The following is a 22,197-nucleotide window of genomic DNA, read 5'->3' as shown; positions in this document are numbered from 1 at the left end:
TCCTAATATAATAAACTGGAAACACTAGCCATATATTTTAATACCATTGAAATCTAATCATCCCTTTCTCCCACTATTTATTGTTGTTGTATTTTGTTGTTGTTGGGGTTAGGCTTTGTTTGTTTACTTTCCTGGACCAGTATGCTAGTGTTTGCATTCCCTATACTGAAGTCTCTGTCTGTTTTCATTTTTAGTCCTGGCTTTATAGGGGTCACCCATATGTCAGCATAGCTTAGGGCAGCCAATGATCGGTCTTTAATTTTCTTGAATGCTTTATGGTAATACATTTTTCACCCTTTGCTGTGAGGATCTGTGTGTAGTTTGGAGCATGCTTTCAAAGTTTAGGCAGATTAAGTCTTCCTTGTCTTTCACTTTTTGCTTTCACAGGACATCAAGGTCAGCCAGGGATGAGTAAGTAACTAAGACTCTCTCTGCTCTTTCTTGACTGTTCACACGACCCTGCACATACACACAGGCTTTCAGATCCTCAGGAATATGTCTGAGATTTTTATAGTCCACTGTGAACTAGATCTGATTCCCCAGATCTTCCTTTTACATGTTTGGCTGGTGTCTTTCTTGCCTTAGCTGGCATCACTGTCTTGAAGGCTTCAGAGTTCACCTTCCTCAAGTGATGCTGATCATCATTATCATCAACAATGCTTTGGGAATAAAACTTTCCCATGGAGCTCCAAGTCGGGTCAAATAGTGGCAAAACTCTGGGGATGGGGCATTTTGTAGAGTTCCAAATTAAATCATCCCCCTCTGGTGGCAACAAGGCTTCTGGTCTTCATGGTACCATGCCAAGGAGCTGAGAGGGATATAGGCAAATCTCTAAGTTAAAATGGCATAGACCTCACTGTTCTTATTGAAGTTCAGTACTGTTTCTTCAGTAAACACTTTTAATTTGTTGTATGCCTTTGATTTTATTTCCGGAGTTCTGAAATGTCTGCTTTTATATAATCTTGCCAGCGTTTTCATTGCTTTTTGTGGAGAGAGGATTTACGGAGGACCTCAATCCACCACTATGCAAGTCTCACGTCTGGAAGATAAATTTACGTGGTCACCCGACCTAAAGGAGCAGCCTGTCACTCAAGCCCAGACAATTGTCACCTTGTGGGATCATGTTCCTAATGTTGTTAGGTCAACTATGGATAGGTTTACACAAATCTTTGAAATTCTTATTTTATAAATTCTTAAGAAAGGATTTCCTTTGGGTGGAATATTACCACCAATTTGCAATCCCTACCTGAAGGAGTTTCATCAAATCCAGTCCACCCACTTATCAGGATTCATTTCTTCAGTCAGTTCACATTCATCTAGCTCCTGCTACAGGCCTGGAATAATACTGGCTGGTAGGGAGACAATGATAGCATCATGAAGAATGTAGAATAAATTGGATTTAAATGAGCATATTGGATCAATTAGAGCTCACTTCAAATTTTTCCTTCTGAGGTCTTACATTGCAAAATAGAGTGCCTGATCCTTGGTTTATCTGATTTTCAATCTGAACTCAGAAAAGTTAAGTAAACATTTCTTCAGACTTTTTTTTTCCTTAAATATCTCTTCAGACTTTTATATTAGGGAAATTGTGAAGAGTAAATATTTTTCAAATTACAAGTTTCCATAAAGAACCCACACTCATTTCAAAACAGGCTACAGAGCATTTGAATTTAGAGTAGAGATAGTCTATTGAAAATGACAGTGAAAAACAGATAATCATGTAAATCTTTGATGAAATGAACCTTTTTGCAGACTTCAAAATCATTACCTTATATCACTGCAAACCTGGCAAGTAATATCAGTGATCAGAGTAATTCATATTCAAATGCTCAACGTGTTTGCTCAGGGCACTGATTGTCCCAGATGTGCTAGTATATGGTAAAAAGACATTAAGACTAATTTTTAAATATTTAAAATACTGTTTTCACTGAGTAAACTGTGGAATTTCCAATTTTCCAAAGAAAAGGTTCTTTTTGATTTGAAGTTAGTTCTTACAATGAAGGATGATGTTGATTGAAGACTCAGTGTCACAGTGAGTTATGCTTTCTCTCGAGGCAGATCCCTCCCAAGGCAGTCACATCATCATTCAGGTGGGAGCTCTGGGAGGAACAATCACATCAAGATCCTTGGCTCTAGTCAATCAGTGCTCCTCTCTCTCTCTCTCTTTCTCTCTCTCTCTCTCCTTGAATGGTAGTTGGGGGGAGTGCTACCCTAACACAGGTCCATTCCATCAGGAGAGGTTTTGAAGATCACAGAAGCACACCCTTCTTTATATAAGAAGGGGCAAACTTAAAGATGATGTTTTCAGTGCAAAAAAGTGCAAAAAAAAAAAGTTTCTCTAGGGCATTGTTTATAGATAATCACTCAATCAGGGCTTGAAGCAAGATTTTCCATTTTAGGTTACATTTTTGTTCTAAATCAACTTCCATCTGGAAGCAATCGCATGGTATTGTGAGCCCTGGGTTAGAAATTATGAGGACTAAGATCTAGGCCTGCATGTCCTCCTAACTTTTGATACGATTCTGAGCCAATGGATTAACCTCTTTGGGCTGCAGTATCCCTGTTTATAAAATAGAGGTTACTCATTTAGTGTACCTGCTTCTCATAATTTGTCCTGTAAACTAAGAGTGTCTGACTGAGACAGGTCTTCATCAATTTAGGAAGTTTATTTTGCCAAGTTTATGGATGTACGCATGACACAGCCTCAGGAGGTTCTGACAACATGTGCCCAAGGTGGTTGGGGCACAGCTTGGTTTTATACATGTTTGGGAAACAGGAGACATCAATCAATATATGTAAGATGTACACTGGTTTGGTCCAGAAAGGTGGGACAACTCGAAGCGGGGACAGCGCTTCCAGGTCATAGGTAGACAGCCTGGTTTAGTGAACCAGTAAAGCAAAGAAAGCAATCAGATATGCATTTGTCTCACGTGAGCAGAGGGATGATTTTGGGTTTTGCCTGTCCTTTGTCCACAAGGAACTTCTTTGTGGGCAAATTGTGAGGGAGGTATGTAGCTTCTTATCTTTGTAGCTATCTTATTTAGGAATAAAATGGGAGGCAGCTTTGCCTGAGATAGTTCCCAGTTTCACTTTTCCCTTGCTTTAGTGATTTTGGGGTCTTGAGACTTATTTTCTTTTCACAGTCCCATGAGAGACATAAAGCATTATTTCTAAGACATGAGAATGACAAGTAGGTCAGAAGATTTACAACCTCCTTGTTAATCTTCAACAGAGGATGTTTGCTGTGCTATTTTAAGTTTGATAGTTACTCCAGGGGCATTTGAACCCAATTTTTTGTATACAGACACATACTTTGAGGACAACATTAGTCAAGGCTTTTCCTGGATAGGTCTTTAGATTCCAGAGAAAGTACAGAAGTAATACTGATTAAAAACACATTAGAATATTCTCTCTATTTGTGGTGATGTCAAAAGATATATGTGTAAATATCCTTGCTCTAAAAGTATGGTACTGTAATTTATAATTATTTTCAGAACTTTTTATTTCTTGCCTTGTTATCATTATCCCCAAGGTGATTCTTATTATGTTCTCATTAAAAATAACAAATGCTGAAATATCTACAATACAAAATCAGAAAGTAGAAAGCTAATGTGACCTTTTTCACTAAATATTCATCAGAATTAAGGTTCAGCAGCTTGTAAATGTGGTAGGCGTATCTTCAAACTGGAGCTCATTGGAGGTTTTCTGTAATGAAGGCTAGAACTTGTCAAGAAAGTTACTGACACCTGATATGGAAAACATCGTTTTCTACTGTGGCAGGGATTTGAGTTACACACAATGTACGTATCTGTCCACACTCAGCAAAGGTGCCGTTAATACTTGTGTATTTCACACTAAAAATTTTGCTTCAAATGAATAAAGCAGTAAGCTAGTATTGGACTCTAGTTATAATGACATGCATGCTGACATATGGAGTGGGAAATGCATTGCCATCTGAAATTTATTTTGAAATGTAGCAAAAAAAAAGAGATAGATTGAGGATGGGTGTATTGATGGACAGATAGAGGGAGAGATGACAGGTGGTGAGGACACCTGTTGCTTACTCTTCTATCGATGGATTGAGATGTTTAAAGAGGGTGTTTATGCATGTAACCATTTGGACATAATTTACAGTATATTTTTCTCCAAACCACAGCACAAAGCTAAACTCTACAGACTATAGGAGAGGAATGTAACTATATAGTATACGAAAACAGGATCTTCTACTGAGCCTTAGGTTTGTTTTTTGTTTTTGTTTTTTTTTTTTTGGCTGGGATTTTTGCTGTGGTATAAGAGAAAACACTCTCATTATACAAATATCATCATTATTTATAATAGGGAAATGCTTCTTCATGTGCGCACTGAAGAGTATCTTTTCTGCTGGTCTTTACCCTTCCATTTGTGAGATCCTAAAACCAGTTAATGAAGGGGCAACGCAGGAGTTCAGGACTAGCCTGGGCAACATAGTGAGACCCCTGTCTCTTTGAAAAATTTAAAAATTAGCCAGGCATGGTGGTGCATGCCTGTGGTCCCAGCTACTTAGGGGTCTGAGGTGGGAGAATTGCTTTAGCCTATGAGGTTGAGGCTACAGTGAGCCATTATTGAGCCACTGCATGCCAGTCTGGGCAACAGAGCAAGACCCTGTCCCAAAAAAAAAGTGGGGTGGGACGGGGGGATAATGAAATCTTCCCATATGTAAAGAACCAAGTAGTCACCATGCCCACAACAAACACCCACCTTGAAACACACTCAGAGAAGACTCTGTCAAGTAGAGGCCCAAGCGACACTGCACCACTGAGAAATTTGTGATGGACTATACCTGCTTTTAGCTGTCTACCCTCGCTGTGGTTTAAGTAAGTTTTCTCTCCAGGTGCTACTCTGTGGAATTAGGTTGGACCAGAGACAAGCCACCAAGTAAACGTTTTGTTTTGTTTTGATTCGTTCCCAAGCAATTTCACGGTGGGTTCCATTTATGCCACTTTCAGGAAATGAGTCCACCAAAACATGAAATTAAAAAAAAAAAAGAATCCTATATGTCCACAAGATCAGTTCATTTTTTATTTTTTAATGAACATTTAAGATTCATATACAAAAGCTGACAGAGCAGTAAGTCCAGTCATGAAATACATACAAGGAAATAAAATGGAAAATAACTCAATTACAATTTCTCACCACTGAAGCACTACACGCTGGCTGTAGGGAGAGGTGGTCAGTGTTTCAGAGACAGCGATCACATGGGCCAAGTGCTGAGAATGTCATCAAAACACTGTTTGTTTTAACATCTCCTTTCCTTTCTTGGCTATTGTTCAGGTAGTGGGTGGTGTGGGGTAAGAAATGTTTCTTTTTCTTCCCAAAAAATTTAAGCAGTTGATTTTTTTTCCTCAGGGAAATATTTTGTGTATCTAACATATGATGTATTTCTGTTATTAATCTGCCTGCATAAAAGTTTGCCTATTCTATTTCTTCGTGTAAGATCATGCAGTACTTTCCTAATTTCAGAACAGTAAGAATTATCAAAGGCAATTCATTTTGTACATAAATGTCCAAGTTTCCTCATAATGGAAAACGTGCTCTTTATGATCTCTGTTTCTCGCAATATAGTTGGTCAACTAATAATCATGGAGAGTTTCCTAAAATATTTATTCACTGGGAAAATTTGTATGAAATGACATTTGAAGTATAAAAAACATTGTTAGGTAACACTTGAAGCAGTTAAAAATATACGTATCTTGTTTGTAAACTATCAACGTATGATACTGGGCATCTGAGTGTCAGTCATCGTATCCTGTTTTTCCAGAAAGTTGTTTGCTCGAATTATCAATGGGACATCTTGGAAACATCTGAAGTTACATATAGAAACATCAAGGCAATATTATTTGTACATATTATTAAACATGCAAAAATTTCCTGAAAGATAGTGCTCACATATGGAGAGTCCCTGTGAGCAAGACCTCTCCTTGGTACCATTTCGCTGGAAGTATGGCTGTCTTGGAGTTTGGGAGTGTGGCCGGTTATTTTGGAGAGGCGGCTCCTTTTATCACCGGCTCCCTATTCAAATACGTTGCCCAGTAAACTAAGTTGAAAGTGCCGAACAAGACTGGGAATACGATTCGGGACATTTTGTCAATTTTGCTGATACTGTTGTAAGTCTTTTTGCTTTCAGAAGTCTTCTCTTCAGAGGGTTTTACTGAGACTGAGGTTGTATTCGACGTCCCTGCTGGGGTCTGTTCCTTCGGAATGTTTGGGGGGTGAGACATCTTCCCAGTTGTAAAAGCGTTTGTTGACTTATTTAGTATGACTTCACGCTTTTTCTGCAAAATATAATACGAATGTAAGGACACGCCATTTGCAGGCAATGGTCAGCTCACCTTGGAGTTCTAAAGGTATACCTCTCAAAAGAGAGAAACACCTGTTTAGCCTGGGAGAGGGCCCTCCTCCACTGATGTCGCCAGGTAGCCTGCAGACAGGGCACACATGAGAGCTATGATTGCTATTAAAGTCTGGCAATCCCATAACGGGATACATTCCCAGAGGAATACGGATCATTCTACCATAAAGACACATGCATGAGAATGTTCACTGCAACACTATTCACAATAGCAAAGACATGGAATCAACCTAAATGCCCATCAATGACAGACTGGATAAAGAAAGTGTGGTACATATACACCATGGAATGGTGCAGCCATAAAAAAGAATGATAAAAAGAATGAGATCCTGTCTTTTGCAGGAACATGGATGGAGCTGGAGGCCATTATCTTTAGCAAACTAACACAGAAACAGAAAACCAAATACCACATGTTCTTACTTACAAGGGGAAGCTGAATGATGAGAACTCATGAACACAAAGAGAGGAACAACAGACATTGGGGTGGAAGGTGGGAGGAGGAAGAGGAGCAGAAAAATAACTATTAGGTACTAGGCTTAGTACCTGGGTGACAAAATGATCTGTATAACAAACTCCCATGACATGAGTTACCTATACAACAAACCTGCACATGTACCTCTGAACCTAAAATAAAAGAAAAAAAATAAAGTCTGGCATTTCTCAAGATCTTGCCATAAACGGAATTAGGACTTGCCCCCTGCAAGGCAGCCATCGCTTCTTTACCTTCAAGTGCACCAGCGGGAGGGAATACGGTGTGTGGATATAAGGGAAGCCCTAAGATGTGGCCTGCTGGGAAGGAGGAAAGGATGCGATTAAACATCATGGTACAGAATGCATTCTTTTGGGAAGGTATCTTCCACCCAGCACAAGGCTTTTGAGAATCACCCATATTGCTGTGTATATCAGTCGTCCCCTCCTTTTTATGGCTGAGTGACCTACCTTTGCATGAATGTGCCACCGTTTGTTTACTATCCTATCGATGGACACCTGGGCTTTCTAATCTTAACTCTTACGGATTAAGCAGCTATGAACATTCTTGTATACATTTTTTGTGAAGTTTTTTTTTTGGATATAAAATTCTAAACAGGTAAGTTACATTATGGTGGAAGAAATAAAAATAGTGGATATGTTTGGAGAGGTGGGGTCAAGCACTGCCTGGGAAGAGGCATGGTGAGCTTTCTGGAGGCTGGTGATGTCCTCTACTGTGGCAGGGATTTGAGTTACACACAATGTCCATATTTGTCCACACTCAGCAAAGGTGCTGTTAGTACTTGTGCGTTTCACACTACAAATTTTGCTTCAAAGGAATAAAACAGTAAGCTAGTATTGGACTCTAGTTATAATGACATGCATGCTGACATATGGAGTGGGAAATGCATTGCCATCTGAAATTTATTTTGAAATGTAGCAAAAAAAAAAAAAACAGATAAATTGAGGATGGGTGTATTGATGGACAGATAGAGAGAGAGGTGACAGGTGGTGAGGACACAGGCATACGTAAGTGTTAACAGCAGACAGGTTTTCACCGTAAACCTCTTTAAACATTGCTGTATGTTTAAAAATGTGCACAATAAAATGTTAGACAACCTGTGTTCCACTACTAAAGTAATATAGTCTCATTAATTAAAACTTGAAAAACACAAGAGAGTAAAGAAAATAAGTCAACCATTAAGAATAAAGAAAAGATAAAAAGCAGAAAGCCCAAGCGTGGAGCAGGCGTCAGGGGAAACAGGTGAAACAGGTGAACCAAAACCAGGCCAGGGGCAGGGGCATGAGGACCCCCTGGGGAAACCGTGCGGGAGCTTGAGGGAGGCGGGCCACACCTCGGAAATGCGATGGCAGTTTTGCCGTCCCCGCCTTCCCCACCATCACTGAGAGCTCATGCAGATCTGCCAGAAGAAATCCATACATGTGAGTTACTGCTTAGAATGGTTCTATCTCTGGGTAGAACCAAGTGAAGGGCAAGCCCTTTAGAAGATACTGCTCTGTCCTGAGGGTGTGCGTTTTTACTGGGAAGGAATGTGCAGCAGGGGTGGGGGCGGGTGGCAGGGAGCACCCGCCTGGGACTCAGCATAGTCACGGCGCTGGTGGTGGAGATTTACACGCGCCCTGGAATCCGCCTTGCCAGAAGGACGTGCTCCCCAGCTGCAGGCAGTGTGGCCAGGTGTCAGAACTTCTGGCAGCCTGAGTTGCAGAGGGCTGTCTGGCCAGAGTCAGGCCCTTCCTGGGCAAATCAGACACATCTGGTGGGCAGCGAGGCAGGAGTCTAAAGCCCTGGCCACATCCCTGACATGAGGCAACTCCACTGGGCATCAGCTCACACGCCCCAGCGGGTTAGCCTGGGCTTTGCTGGGCCTGCATCATGGTTCGATCTCTTCCTCTCTGAATCTCACTGCCTCCTGTTTCCTTTCCCAAACGTTCACTCCTAAAAACTGCCTTACACCCCAAACTCTGACCCAGTGTTTGCTTCTGGAGATCCCAACTTGGAACAATGGTGAACACAGTCTATTTTTTTAAAGTCCTCTCTACTTCCATGGAACAGTTTACTCGAGTAGGCTGACACCAGGCTGTGGTATTCACGCTCGCGCCAGTGTCTGACCGCGGGGTGTGAGGCCTGCATGCCTGCAGATGCACCATGGCTTCCAGCACGCAGAGCCTTCCTGGCAGCAGGGGTGGAACCCCCAGCGCCACTGCCTTCCCAGGAACGAGTCTGAACATTCCACAAGCCAGCTTGAGGCACGCGGCTTATTCTAGAAGACCCTTTCTCTCCTCGGATTAGACAGTGCAGGTCACTTTCATCCTCTCTCCTCCCTCCAACCCTCCATTCAGAATTCAGATCTATGGTGATTAGATCAGCCGCCACAGGAGGCAGGGCGGACATGGTGATTGACAGTGTCGGCGACACCCAACAAGAACACCCAGCCACAGGTGTGCTCTCTCCATTCACCCGGGGGCTCACGTTCCTCCTAGACTCACAGGCATGAGCCCAACAACCTCAGTGACTGCCAGGGACTTCCGGCTCCTCCCTGACCTCAGACCAGGCTCCAGCCCACTATCCATCATGCACCATCTATGTCCCAGGCAGGTGACAAACAAGCACCTTCCAGCAACACAGTGCAGGGTGTTGGGAAGCCCCGTCTCCCCAGACTCCATTCTCGTTCCTCCCCACACAGCACCTTCTCTGGACCCCTGGTCTGCAGGAACAAGTTCAAACGTGTCGGCCAAGAACCTCTATCGTCTGAGAACAGCCTGCTCCCAGCCCCCGAGTCCCTATCACCCAGTGCAGTCAGATCACTCCTGTCCCTCCTCTCAGCCCTCAAAGCATACCCATGCCCGAGGCCCTTCCTCCGGTTTCCCCTTTCCTCCCTTCATGAGAGCACCCAGAATGGGTCCTGCCAGGCCTTCCTCCAACCTGGGAGCTAGGCTTGGAAGTGGGGCTTCTATGCTGAAACTACAGTGGGGGAGGGGCTCCTGGCACTTGGAAATAGTGAAGGCCCAACAGGCGAGGTCAGGCCAGAACTCCTGACAGCAGAGTCAAACCCTCAGAGCAAGCACGGGGCTGTGGATGGGATGGAAGCAGGTCTCCCAGTGGAACCAGGGCCTCCTGCTCTGCTGTAACTGGCTTGTGGCCCTTGGCTGGGAGGTCGGACTTACACTTCGAGGCCTCTCTAATGCCTTCCAGGACTCCCTTCATGCTGATTTTCCAAAGGACAGATTAAGTTTTACTTTCAGGTCGCCCCGATGGCTCTGACCTCCTGTTCTCTCCATACAGAGATTTGTGTGTTTGTTTTCTGTGTGGCGAAATTAGCCGTTCACCACATGCTGCTTTATTTACCGTCCACGAATGTTATTCTTATCTCCCCAAGGAAACAGTGCAGCTTGGAATAACATTTTTTCTTCAAATGTTTGGGCATAAATCATCCTTTAAATACTTGGTGGTTCTTTGCTTTGAACAGAGTAATGCTTTCACAACAATTTATGTGCCTGGTGTAAGGGGGTTCAATCATGCACTCGGTGGGGCTTGGGTGTGCTTTGCTGAGGAACTCCTTCCATTACATTGGTGCCCCCTTCTCGACCTGAGGGCCACCTGAAGAGGACACCCTGCATGGTGAAATGAGATAAAATGAGCGTAAGAACAGATTCCACAACTAAAACCAGACAAGTCGTCCCTCAAGATGCAGGAGTTACTTCTGCCAAAATAATAGGCTTGAATATAAATAGGGCCAAGCCATTCACACCCCATCGCCTTTTGCTGGAGTGAAATTGGACCTGTTGTCAGTAAGACTTGGTAAGGGCCTTGAATATGAGGAAAGGAGCATTCGGGGGCTGGCGGGTAGGAAGGAGCAGCACCTTGTCTCATGTTTGGATAGAATCAGGCACACTTTCTCTGTCAAGGGGACCTGGAAGAAAGGAGGAGAAATAGTCAGTACCTTGATCTTGGCTGCTTCCAAGGCTTTTTTGCCATCCCAGGCCCAGCCTCTCTTGGTAAAGTAATTGACCGTGGCAAACTCTATCAGCGCCGAGAAGACGAAGGCATAGCACACGGCTATGAACCAGTCCATGGCGGTGGCGTAGGCCACTTTGGGCAGAGAGTTCCTGGCGCTGATGCTGAGGGTCGTCATGGTCAGCACCGTGGTGACCCCTGCGGGGGTCAGGCAGGGCAGAGTGAAAAACGGAAACAGGGGTCAGTGCTGGCACCCAGGACCCCAGTACAACATGCCCAAAGTGATAGACACAAAGGGGACTAGTCATTTTTATTTTTATTTTTATTTTGAGACAGAGTCTTGCTCTGTCGCCCAGGCTGGAGTGCAGTGGCACAATCTCGGCTCACTGCAAGCTCTGCCTCCCTGGTTCAAGCGATTCTTGTGCCTCAGCTGCCTGAGTAGCTGGGATTACAGGCAGGTGTCACCACACCTGGCTAATTTCTGTATTTTTAATAGAGACGAGGTTTTGCCAAGTTGGCCAGGCTGGTCTCGAATTCCTGGCCTCATGCGATCCACCCACCTCGGCCTCCCAAGGGACTGGTGATTTTAATCCCAGCCTGCGCCTTCCTCTACTGTTTTGCTAACATCTAGCACATTCACTGCACTTAGATAGATGATTGCTGATGTTCTGTGTCTTGATTGTCCCTTCCCTTTAGAATGTGAACTGAGGAGGGCAGGGATTCAGGTCTGATTTTGGCTCCCACTGCCATGAACAAAGCCAGGCAAACAGCCAGTGCTCAACAAAGACGTGTAGAGTGAGTGATACGATTCTGCAGCACTAAGGCAAGATCCAAGGCAGAATGACAGTCACATTCATGCCGCAGCCAGTAGGTGCCTCCCAGTGACTTACTATGCACCTGGAAGTAGAGGGCTCCCTGCAAACAGGTGAGACAGACTTTCACCCGACTGCAGACTTGTAAGAGCCAGAGAGTAACAGAAGCGCCATATCTAAATCTGGGTCTGGGCATGTCACTCCCTCAAAGAGGGAACAGTATCCCCTGGAGCCTGCTGTGCATGGTGCCTGTGGCCACTAGGAAAACTTTGCAGTGACCACACAGCCAGGCTGGATCCCTGGAAGGGGACAGTCCTTTGGACTGGCAGATTATGCACCAGCTACTGGGTCCACTGAGTGTCAGACTCTCGTCTAAGCTGCACTCTGGATGGGTGTCAGTATCCCTGTTTGGCAGGTGGAGGAGCCTGAAGATTTAAAAGTGTTTAGCGAGGTGCCCAAGCTCGCCAGCAAGGAGATGAGACTACCCACACTGGGAGCCAGGCCTGCTGGACTCTCGCAGTTCACATAGCTTCCACCTGCTAGCCCTGCCTTCTGCATAAGCGTGCACCTGTGTGGGCGATGGGGGTGTAACACACCTGCTATTGGTCAAACTGTGGGCCTGCAAAATTCATATGTTGAAGTCCTAACCTCCAGTACTCTAGATTACAGCCTTATTTGGAAATACAGTATTTAAAGAAATAATTAAGTTAAAATGAGGTCACTGGGATAGGCCCTCATCTGCTATGACTGATGCCTTATAAAATGGGGAACCTTGGAGACAGACATGCACACAGGGAGCATGCCGTGTGAGGGCGGGAGTGATGCTGCCATGAGCTAAAGAGCTACCAGAGGCCAGGAGACAGGCCAGGAACAGATCCTTCCCTTGCAGGCCTCAGGAGGAGCCAGCCCTGCCAACACCCTGATCCCAGCCTTCCAGCCTCCAGAAGTGTGAGATGATACATTTCTGCTGTATAAGTCCCCAGTGTGTGGGACTTGGTTACGGCAGTCCCAGGAGACCAGCACAGCACCAAGGACACGTAGTATGGCTGGGGCTTCATTCAATGCCATCCTTCACAGCTCTACAAGTACTCCATGAACGTCATTCCCTGCATGAAATCAACACTTCCAAAGGAATCAATAGAAATCTTTGATTTTTTTTTTGAGAAATCCACTTAATCACTGTGTTGCGGGGGAAGTGTTCTATGCATGATCTTAAACAAGCCTCTTGAGTCTTCTTCTTGGGCCTTTAATATCTTAACATGCATTGGGAATCTCCCTCCACCCCCCGCCAAAAAACCCAACAATAACAGGCAATACCCTCCCAGCTTTTTTTCTGCCTACCAGCTAAATTTCCCCTAAAGAGTTCATCAGGCACATTAACTTGGGGAGCACTGCCTGGCCACCAGCCAACCTCCACACCTTCCTGAAACAATCCTGATGCTCGCTCAGGCTTGGTAAGTGAAGCTGGACTCTTGACTGGAGGCAGAGTGATGATCAGACGGGAGCACCCCTGTGCCACTCACTCCTGAACTCCCTGTGCTCTTGATCAGCCTACACCCTGGGGGAGCATTAAGATAAAATGCACGCTAATATTTTCCTGCTTTGGAAAGGAAACTGCAATAGCAAATGCTGATGTGTGAATCGTACTTTACAGTTTACAAAGATGTGAGCATCCAGGATCACGACTGACTGGCAAAACTGCCTTTAGTATCTTCCTGAATCTGAGGAAGCTGAGCTTCGAGGTAATTAAGACTCAGACGCTCAACTGTGCCTGCTGGGCCGAGGTACCTCCTGAGTTAGAGCTCTCCCAATTTAGTTTATGTCTTAGGGATGTAAAATGATGCTGCTCTAGATTCTTACCAGGTATATATATTTAATTTATTACTATTGTATCTCATTGATTGTTATTTGGTGGTTAATTTTAAAGTGGCAGGCACATTTCAAAGAAAACTGCCTAACTTACAAAGTCATACTTGGTGAGAACCAAAAATTCTACAGACTGAGTATCCTTATTTTAAAAATCCAAAACCTGAAACGCTACAGAATCCAAAACTTTTTGGGCACCGACGTAATGCTCAAAGAAAATGCTCCGTGGAGCTCATTTCGGATTTTCAGATTAGGGATGCTCAACTGGTATCATGCAATTCTTCCAAAATTTAAAAAAAATCTGATATCTGAAACACTTCCGGTCCCAAGCATTTGGGATAAGGAATGCTCAACCTGCATAGCAAAATCTCACATAAAACAGATACATGCTGGCAATGTCAAACCACACAAAAAGGCTTTTCAACAAGTAAATAACTATCAAATAGACCATGTGATATTCCTTAAACCCTTCTTTGGAGAGAAATCCTAAACTCTAATCCTTAACATTAAATTCTTAATTAGTGGGTCAATTTCTTTTCCAGGTCACACAACAAAGAGGCAGCACTAGAAGTTTCGTGGAGGTTGTTGCTGTTGCTTCCGGGTGGTTAGGGTCAGTCACAAAACACCAGTGTCCAGGCCTGGCTTGGGGACACTCACCAAAAACTGTCCTGGCTGGGACTGATTCCCGGTTCAGCCAAAAGGACACCTGTGATAAGATCACGGTCATTATGCAGGGAAGGTAGGTCTGGATGACAAAGTAGCCAATCTTCCTTTTCAGGTGGAAGTGAGCTGTCATGATTGTGTATTCGCCTGCAAATAAGCAAATGACTGCACATCAGTCCCCTAGAGTCTCTGCTTGCTGCATCCAAGGAGTTCACCAGGAGCCTCCCTTCCACTCCCCTGTCGGTTTGGACAAGCATTCATTTGTATGATCTGGGTTAAGGAGAGGACACAGGAGGATGCATGAATTTGTTATCGGTCATTTTATAAGTAAGTCTTATGACCCCTGGTCTCTGAAGAGCCTTTGATGACGGATGCTCTTCCTGGGGAAAATCAGATTTGTGTGTTTTACTAATCTCCAGTCACAATCTGTGCCTCTCTCCCCCCACTCCCTCGCCTGCTTCTGCAATTAGGATTTCAGGATTTAGCCTCCCCAGATGTAACTCAGGATTTCACAGAGCCCTGCAGAGGGTGGACAGAGTCCTTCCTGTTTCCAGTCTAGAGGCTCCAGGGAGGTGAGACGACCACTCCCACCAGCAGCAGGCCCTGTGCTGGCTGTGTCGCAGGTGCAGAGTGAGATGCAGCAGCTCAGGAGGCTCTGGGTCCTGGCAGCTCAACCCTTCTGCCACCTACCAGAGAGGTGTCGCCTGTTCTTTGAAATCGGGGGCATTTCATTGGCGATGCCCCAGTGCCTTCTCTGGATTTGCCTGGCTGTGTGGGAGGCACGAGGAGACCTCCCATTCATTGCTGAGAATGATGCCGTCCTCACGGTGAACTGGTAAGGAGCTGAGGTCGGGAGCTGTGGTCAGGGAGTGTGAGGCCCGCTGGGCCAGTCTTCTTGCTACCTGGATTTGCCTCACCTTGGGGAGATGGGAAGTGTTCTTTGAGGGGTGGAGGAAGAGCAATTCAAAAAACTTTGGCTGAATTGCGAGGAGTGGATGGTATGGCCAGAGAGCTGGGATGCACTGTGAACGTGGGGAGAACAGGCTTTGGGGGCTCCATCAGCGCAGGCCCTGGTCTGTCTGTCAGAGTAGTGGTCTGCTGCTGCAGGGACTGCGTGTTGGGACATTAGAGTCTGACAGCACAGTTGCAGTGCTTACTGTTGGGATGGAAGCCCACAGCTCAGCAAGGGCCACTGTGGATGCTTCACTGAGTGCCAACTCAAAACATGGCATATGTCGGAGACGAAGGAACCATAGCAATCACATGTGGCAAAAATCTGCCCTCTAACACAAGAGGAGCCAACAATCTCAGCAGTGCCTGGACAGGCCCGCAGTGCAAAGGTGCACTTTCCCCATAGTCCGCAGCAGGTGAGGGAGCAGAGCCGAGAAATGGGCAAAGAAGAGGCAGAGGGTATGTTGGTAGCAAGGACTGGATCTCTACTGGTGATCCAAGTCTTTGTCTCCTTAGCACTTGAAGAAGTGAAATGGCATTCTGTTTTACAGTAGGACTTGAAATTACTCTCCTACTTCTAATTATTTTGGCGGTAGTTCTTTTCATTTTGTTTTATTTTTGAGTTGAGGGTAGGAAAATTTGGTAGTGTTTGTTTTAAAAGATTGTAGAATGCAAATAGGAGTAGAAATCCCAGTTATTAATATTTAAAGAACTACATGAAACAGCTCCAAACTGGAGCATCCTCCCTCAGCATCGCAATTGCTTACACCAAACTCCTGCTGCACTACTTTCCACTGGTTTGCATAAAACCGGCCGGTTCCCTCTGCCTTTCCCTTTAGCATGGTAACCAAATGGTGAAGCCATCCTCCCAGACTCTCATATCCCCCAGGGATGCCCAGCGCGCAGGCCCATGGGTCAACAGGGTGCTGACTGCGTGTGTGTGCATGCAGAACAGGCTATGCACTAAATGGCCTGTGTGCTCGGCCAGCTGCAACGGTAGGGGTGCTGACAATCAGCTATGCTGACAGAGCGTTCCCCTGAAAATATCCTCTGGGGCTTAGAGCTCTTTCTGCCATCAGGGCCCCCTCCCTCCCTTTAGGCTTTTCTCCAAGGCTGCAGAGGCTCTTTGGAGCTCAAAATCCCCTCCCTTGCTCACAGCACCCCTGGTGACCTTGACCTCTATGGCTGGGCCTTCCTGTCCTGGAGACATCTGGCCACATAACTTGCAGGCTCTGGAGATGCAATGCATCCTGTTTCTTTGGTTTCCCCACCAACTTTGTGTCAAGGGAAGCCAGGCTGGGATGGGGCTATATTGGCCCTGCAGGGCTCAGGCCAGCCCAGGGCACTTGGCATTGAGAGCATCTGCTTCCTTCTTGTACATTTCAGCTCTTCTCTGTAGGCTGCCTGGTTGTGCTTTCCCAATTTCAACTCCAGGGAAATCTCTGCACTGTTTAAAGCAGGAGGTGGGGAAGCAGGTAACTGGGGTATTTGTAGGAAGCTGTCTACCTTTCCTGCTTAGGGGGGTGTTATATAAGCAGGTCCACCGCAACCCCCGGCCACAGCTGGTGCCTCTGTGTGCAGCTGCAGGGAGGGGCAGGCTGGGAGGATTCCTTTGGCCAGCTCTCATACAGCTGTGGCCCATGGAGAGCACAGCTGGCCAGGACAGGTTGTGTGGGAGGCTGCTGTGCGGCCTCCCACGTGGCCCCTGCAGAGAGGTGCTGGGAGCAGCAAGCTCTCCAAGGGTGTGGTGTCCTGAGTGCGCCTGGCAGCACAGCGCGTGCCGAGCCCTCACCTGTGCTGGTGCTGATGTTCTCAGTGCCCACCGTCTGCCCCATCAGGTGGTACTGGTTCAGTCTGGAGCCATCTTCCGCCACCACCACCGACTTGGTGGAGCCGTTGGTCCAGACGTAAACGACTTCAGAATTAGGGTACGCATCTGTATGAGGAGGGGGCAGAAAGTGACATAAACATGAAATCATTCCCAGCCTGGAAAACACAGAAGCTTTTACTAAAGTAGCAAGAGAGAGGATGAGAACGTTTGAAAAGTCAAGGTTCCATGACCTAAAAAATGCATAGGGTGGTTGGACCAGGGCAGACGCCACTGCAGTTCGGCATCTTCCCATGTCTAAAGGCCTGGGTGCCAGGCTGCTGTCTGGCACTTCCCGGTACACTTGTGTTTCTCTGCAGAGCGCACGATGGTGCAGGAGGTGAGAACATGAGCTCTGAGACCAGAGTGCCTGGGTCCCTCCAGCTCTGTGACTTTGGCAGGTCACTTATTCTCTGTGCCTCAGTCCCTTCATCATAGAATGGGATAAAAACAGCAACCATGTCTGAGGGCTCTGGCTATGACTGCATGACCTACATCGAGATTTACAAGCACAGAGCACCTGAAGCAGCGCCCGGCCGCATTCCCTACTCCAAGCCTTCCACTCTGCAACAGGCACCTGCTGTCCACGCCATCCTGGGTGTGAAGGTGGTGTGGCAAGCAGGACCTGCACCCCTGGTGTCACACTTGTGAATATGGTACCTTACTTGGCAAAAGACACTGTTGCACATGGAATTCAGGTTCTGGACCTTAATATCAGAAGATTATATGTGATTTTCCCAGGGGGCACAATCTAATCACTTGCCTCCTTAAAAACAGAGAACTTCCCTAATCAGAGAGATTAGAAGCATGACAAAAGGGCTCCACTCACCACTGCTGGCTTGAGGATGGGGTAAGGGGGGCCATAAGCCGAGGAGAGTGGGCAACCTCTAAAAGATGTGACTAGGCTGGAATATATTAATCTGGAAGCTTGCAAAGGAGCCCAAAGCTTAGGGCAGTTCTGGGAGTCAGGGACTGTATTAGTCCGTTCTCACGCTGCTATGAAGAAATACCCAAGACTAGGTAATTTATCAAGAAAAGAGGTATAATTGACTCACAGTTCCACATGGCTGGGGAGGCCTCAGGAAACATACAATCATGGCGGAAGGCACCTCTTCACAGGGTGGCAGAAGAGAGAATGAGTGCGAGCAGGGGAAATGCCAGACGCTTATAAAACCATCAGATCTCGTGAGACTCACTCACTATCACGTGAACAGCATGGGGGAATTGCCCCCATAATCCAATTACCTCTACTAGTCCCGCCCTTGACATGTAGGGATTATTATAATCCAAGGTGAGATTTGGGTGGGGACACACAGCCAAGCCATTTCAGGGGCCATCTGAGAACACAAACATTCACCTAAACAGTGTGCAGAGCACAGGAAACAATGCTGCCCTCATCAGCCGATGAGGAGCTAACAACTCAATGCCAAATCTGCTCAAGGATGAAAGGGAAGCAGGGAGAGGAAGAGAAGGAGAGATGCAGGGGGGAGGATATAGGGGTCCTCTGGGACTTGTAGAGGTCTGAGGGTGGAGAGGCCTCCTGCAAAGGCCTGGAGGGAGGCAGACTGAGGACATGAGACGCGATGGGATTCGTGAAGTGTGGAGGCTGTGGCCCACTCATCACTTTCCTCAATCGGACTGGGGACGGCACAGTCACTGATGGCTCCTCCTGGACTCGAGGCCAAGTGGCATACTAACCCGAGACCAGGGGCACGTGCCTGAGCACTGCCAGCAAGGAGAGCTGTGGGGAGGCCGGCTGGGGCCGAGGCCAGCCTGACCTGAGGCCTCGCTGGGTGCAAGTCCTGTGAGCCGCTTTCTCCATGGTTAGGGGGCAGAGGTTGGATGATAATCCTTACCTTACAGTAAGAATCCAATGAAATAATCATTGTAAGGATGAAAGATACCTAGAATCACTGAGTGACATATAATGCATCATCATAATTCACGTGATCTTGTTTTTCAAACTACTAGTGAATATTAAATGACCTCTTGATATTGACGATGTTAATAGCATTAATAATGACAGCAGCAAGAGACAATGTGGTTGCAGTGCGTCAGCTGGACATCACCAAGTTCTGCTCTCCTCATCACATTAAGGGTGGGAATAAATGACCCCTTGTGTCCATTTCAGCTCCACTGTTCAGCAACCAACACTAAATTCCTTCTCTGTGTCAGCAGTGTGGCGTTCAATCTTTTTGCCGGGACAAGAGTAAATGAGGCAATCAGGTTGCAGTGCCATTTGTCATGATTTAGAGCTCTGGAAAACATAAAGCTCACCCTCTTCTGACCACACATCAGCAGAGCCAGGCAAGAAGGTCTGAAACATTTTCACTCGCATCGGGCTTGGAAATTCATCACCGTTTTCCTTCAGGCTTCTTCCCCTGAGTTGACCCTGCCTGTCCTCTCCTAGCCTTGCAAATCCTGAGTGGGAGGTGGCAGTGGCACAAATTCTCAAGGTATTTCAGAAACCATGGGTCTTCTGAATAACTACAAAGGAAGTAAGGCAGCATGGGCCTGACACTCACTACCAGGGTGGACTTGAGCAACCTCTTTGAGCTCTCAGCCTCAATTTCCCCATCTGTAGATCGGGGAAAAAACCCCCATCTCCTAATACACTGATGACAAAGTGGATATGTGAATGTCGAGTATTTAGCACGCACCTGACTCACAGTAGGTACTTCATCAACAGCAGCTATAATGGACATAACCGTGTGGGGAATGATTTTTGCTTGGTGTCAAATCCGAAAAGGTCTTTCTACTTTAATTTACTTTCTTATTCTTGGTCCAAAGCAAACTCAGTTTGTGAGTCTCTGGTAAGCTCCGGCGACTGTGTGACTCTGTGTTTTCACTGCTTGTGACAATGCAGATTAGAATGTAACAGGTTCTTGGAATTTTTGGGATTTGAAAAGGTACAGGGTTTGAGTTATCTAAACCCATATCTCTAGGCTTCCCATTCTTTCTTTCTTTCCTTTTTTTTCTTTCTTTCTTTTTTTTTTTTTTTTTTTAAACATTCTCTTTCTATCACCCAGGCTGGAGTGCAGTGGCACGATCTTGGCTCACTGCAATCTCTGTTTCCCGGGTTCAAGCGATTCTCCCACCTCAGCCTCCTGAGTAGCTGGGATTACAGGTACCTGCCACCATGCCTGGATAATTTTGCATTTTTTGTATAGATGGGGTTTTGCCATGTTGGCCAGGCTGGTCTTGAAGTCCTGGCCTCAAGCGATACACCCGCCTCAGCCTCCCCTCTCTTTGAAAGCCTGGGTGGGAATGAGCAGAGTAACAGCAGCACAAGACCTTGTCACAGCACCCCAATGACACCATCTGCAGTCTCCTGAGCTGAACACCAGGTCAGCACCTAACACATCAATGGTAAAACTTTGAAAAATACAAACAGATAAAGACATGTTATCTCTGATGGCCTACTGGACACCCAATATCTCTGCTTTAAATTTGACAGTAAAAATGACGTGAGTGGGGTTTGGCCACACCCTTTCCCTTGCCCAAGATCAAATGGGAAGTAAGAGGAATAAGCCAATGGGGATGAACAGATAACACGTCTGCCCAGGTACCAGTGAAGATACACTCCCATCACTGTGCCACAGTAAGACCTTGCAGAATCACATAGGGTTATGGCCATGACTGGCCTGACAGGGAGAGAGTCAGAGACCATGCTGTTACTATTTATGAACTTAATGGGCCCAGATCAGGAAAGAAGAAAAAGGACTGTCACTCTCCCAGCAGAAAAGACTGTTTGCCCTGCAGACAGCAGTGAGAAGCAAGGCAGGAGGCCAGCCGTGTTTAGGAAGAAATCTCTCATGTAACAATTGCTTACCCCTCCCTCATACTCCAATTGGCTTTTTTACCTTCAATGCACCAGCTCCTTCCAATTATTTCCAATTTCCTCATGGAAAACAGTATTTCCCAAGTCATCTGGTCTTAAAATGGAGTGGCTGTCTTTGAATTACGTCCCTCTTTTCCCCTCTACATCCACTTTTCATATCTGGCCACCACCCTGCTCTCTGCTCCCTCACTTCTAATGACTTCATGGGAATTCCCAGCTTTTGCTTTCAGCCCCACAAATAGTGATTTTTGCATGTTCTTCGTCTGCTCAACAAACATCACTCACACTGCCTGCTACTTTTTTTTTTTTTTTTAAGTTCCGGGATACATGTGCAGGATGTGCCTGTTTGTTACATAGGCAAACATGTGCCATGGTGGTTTGCTGCATCTATCAACCCATCACCTAGGTATTAAGCCCAGCATTCATTAGCTATTTTTCCTGATGCTCTCCCTCCCCGCACTACCCCACCACAGGCCTCAGTGTGTGTTATTCCCCACCCTGTGTCCATCTGTTCTCATTGTTCTAGCTCCCACTTGTAAGTGAGAACATGCAGTGTTTAATTTTCTGTTCCTGTGTTAGTTTGCTGAGGATGATGGCTTCAGCAAAGGACATGATCTTGTTCCTTTTTATGGCCGCACAGTATTCCACGGTATATATGTACCACGTTTTCCTTATCCAGTCTATCATTGATGGGCATTTGGGTTGATTCCATGTCTTTGCTGTTGTGAATGGTGCAATGAACATATGCGTGCATGTATCTTTATAATAGAATAATGATTTATATTCCTTTGTATATACCCAGTTATGGGATTGCCAGGTCAAATGGTATTTCTGGTTCTAGGTCTTTGAGGAATCACCACGCTGTCTTTCACAATGGTTGAACTAATTTACATTCTCACCAACAGTGTAAACTCATTCCTATTTCTCCACAGTCTCACCAGCATCTGTTGTTTCTTGACTTTGTAATAATCACCATTCTGACTGGTGTGAGATGGTATCTCATTGTGGTTTTGATTTGCATTTCACTAATGATCAGTGACGTTGAGCTTTTTTTCATGTTTGTTGGCTGCATAAACGTCTTCTTTTGAGAATTGTCTGTTCATGTCCTTTGCCCACTTTTTAATGGGGTTGTTTTTTTCCTTGCAAATTTGTTTAAGTTCCTTGTAGATTCTGGATATTAGACAATTGTCAGATGGATAGCTTGCAAAAATGTTCTCTCATTCTGTAGGTTGTCTGTTCACACTGATGATAGTGTCTTTTGCTGTGCAGAAGCTCTTTAGTTTAATTAGGTCCCATTTGTCAATTTTTGCATTTTTTGAAACTGCTTTTGACATTTTTGTCATAAAATCTTTGCCCATGCCTATA

General features: G+C 45.7%; 1 protein-coding gene across 8 annotated transcripts in view, besides 1 other annotated feature; it reads right to left on the bottom strand.

Annotated features, from left to right (window-relative positions):
- Nucleotides 5,037–22,197, bottom strand: part of GABRA5 (gamma-aminobutyric acid type A receptor subunit alpha5) — an 82,490-nt gene continuing 65,329 nt past the window's right edge. For 4 of the 8 annotated variants that reach the window (NM_001165037.2, NM_000810.4, XM_006720459.3 and 1 more), the window contains exons 8-11: nt 16,917–17,060; nt 14,168–14,320; nt 10,819–11,030; nt 5,037–6,311 (exon numbers count right to left, since the gene is read on the bottom strand). In NM_001165037.2, coding sequence (NP_001158509.1) covers nt 6,012–6,311; nt 10,819–11,030; nt 14,168–14,320; nt 16,917–17,060 — 809 coding nt within the window. In that variant the 3' untranslated portion in view covers nt 5,037–6,011. Of the gene's footprint in view, nt 10,789–10,818; nt 11,031–14,167; nt 14,321–16,916; nt 17,061–22,197 lie in introns of all 8 variants that reach the window. The other 4 variants (XM_017022055.2, XM_047432338.1, XM_017022056.2 and 1 more) reach the window with 1 other exon arrangement.
- Nucleotides 9,050–9,629: an enhancer, noted in NCBI's record as "H3K27ac-H3K4me1 hESC enhancer chr15:27189763-27190342 (GRCh37/hg19 assembly coordinates)". NCBI's record gives its function as "activates a minimal SCP1, AML or CMV promoter by ChIP-STARR-seq in naive H9 embryonic stem cells {active_cell/tissue: H9 hESC(naive)}" and the evidence as "EXISTENCE:reporter gene assay evidence [ECO:0000049][PMID:30033119]".

The sequence above is a fragment of the Homo sapiens genome, chromosome 15 (genome assembly GCF_000001405.40).
Source record: "Homo sapiens chromosome 15, GRCh38.p14 Primary Assembly".
Lineage (NCBI taxonomy): Eukaryota > Metazoa > Chordata > Mammalia > Primates > Hominidae > Homo > Homo sapiens.
Note: the sequence above shows the minus strand (reverse complement) of the source record. Positions and strands in the feature narration are given on the sequence as shown.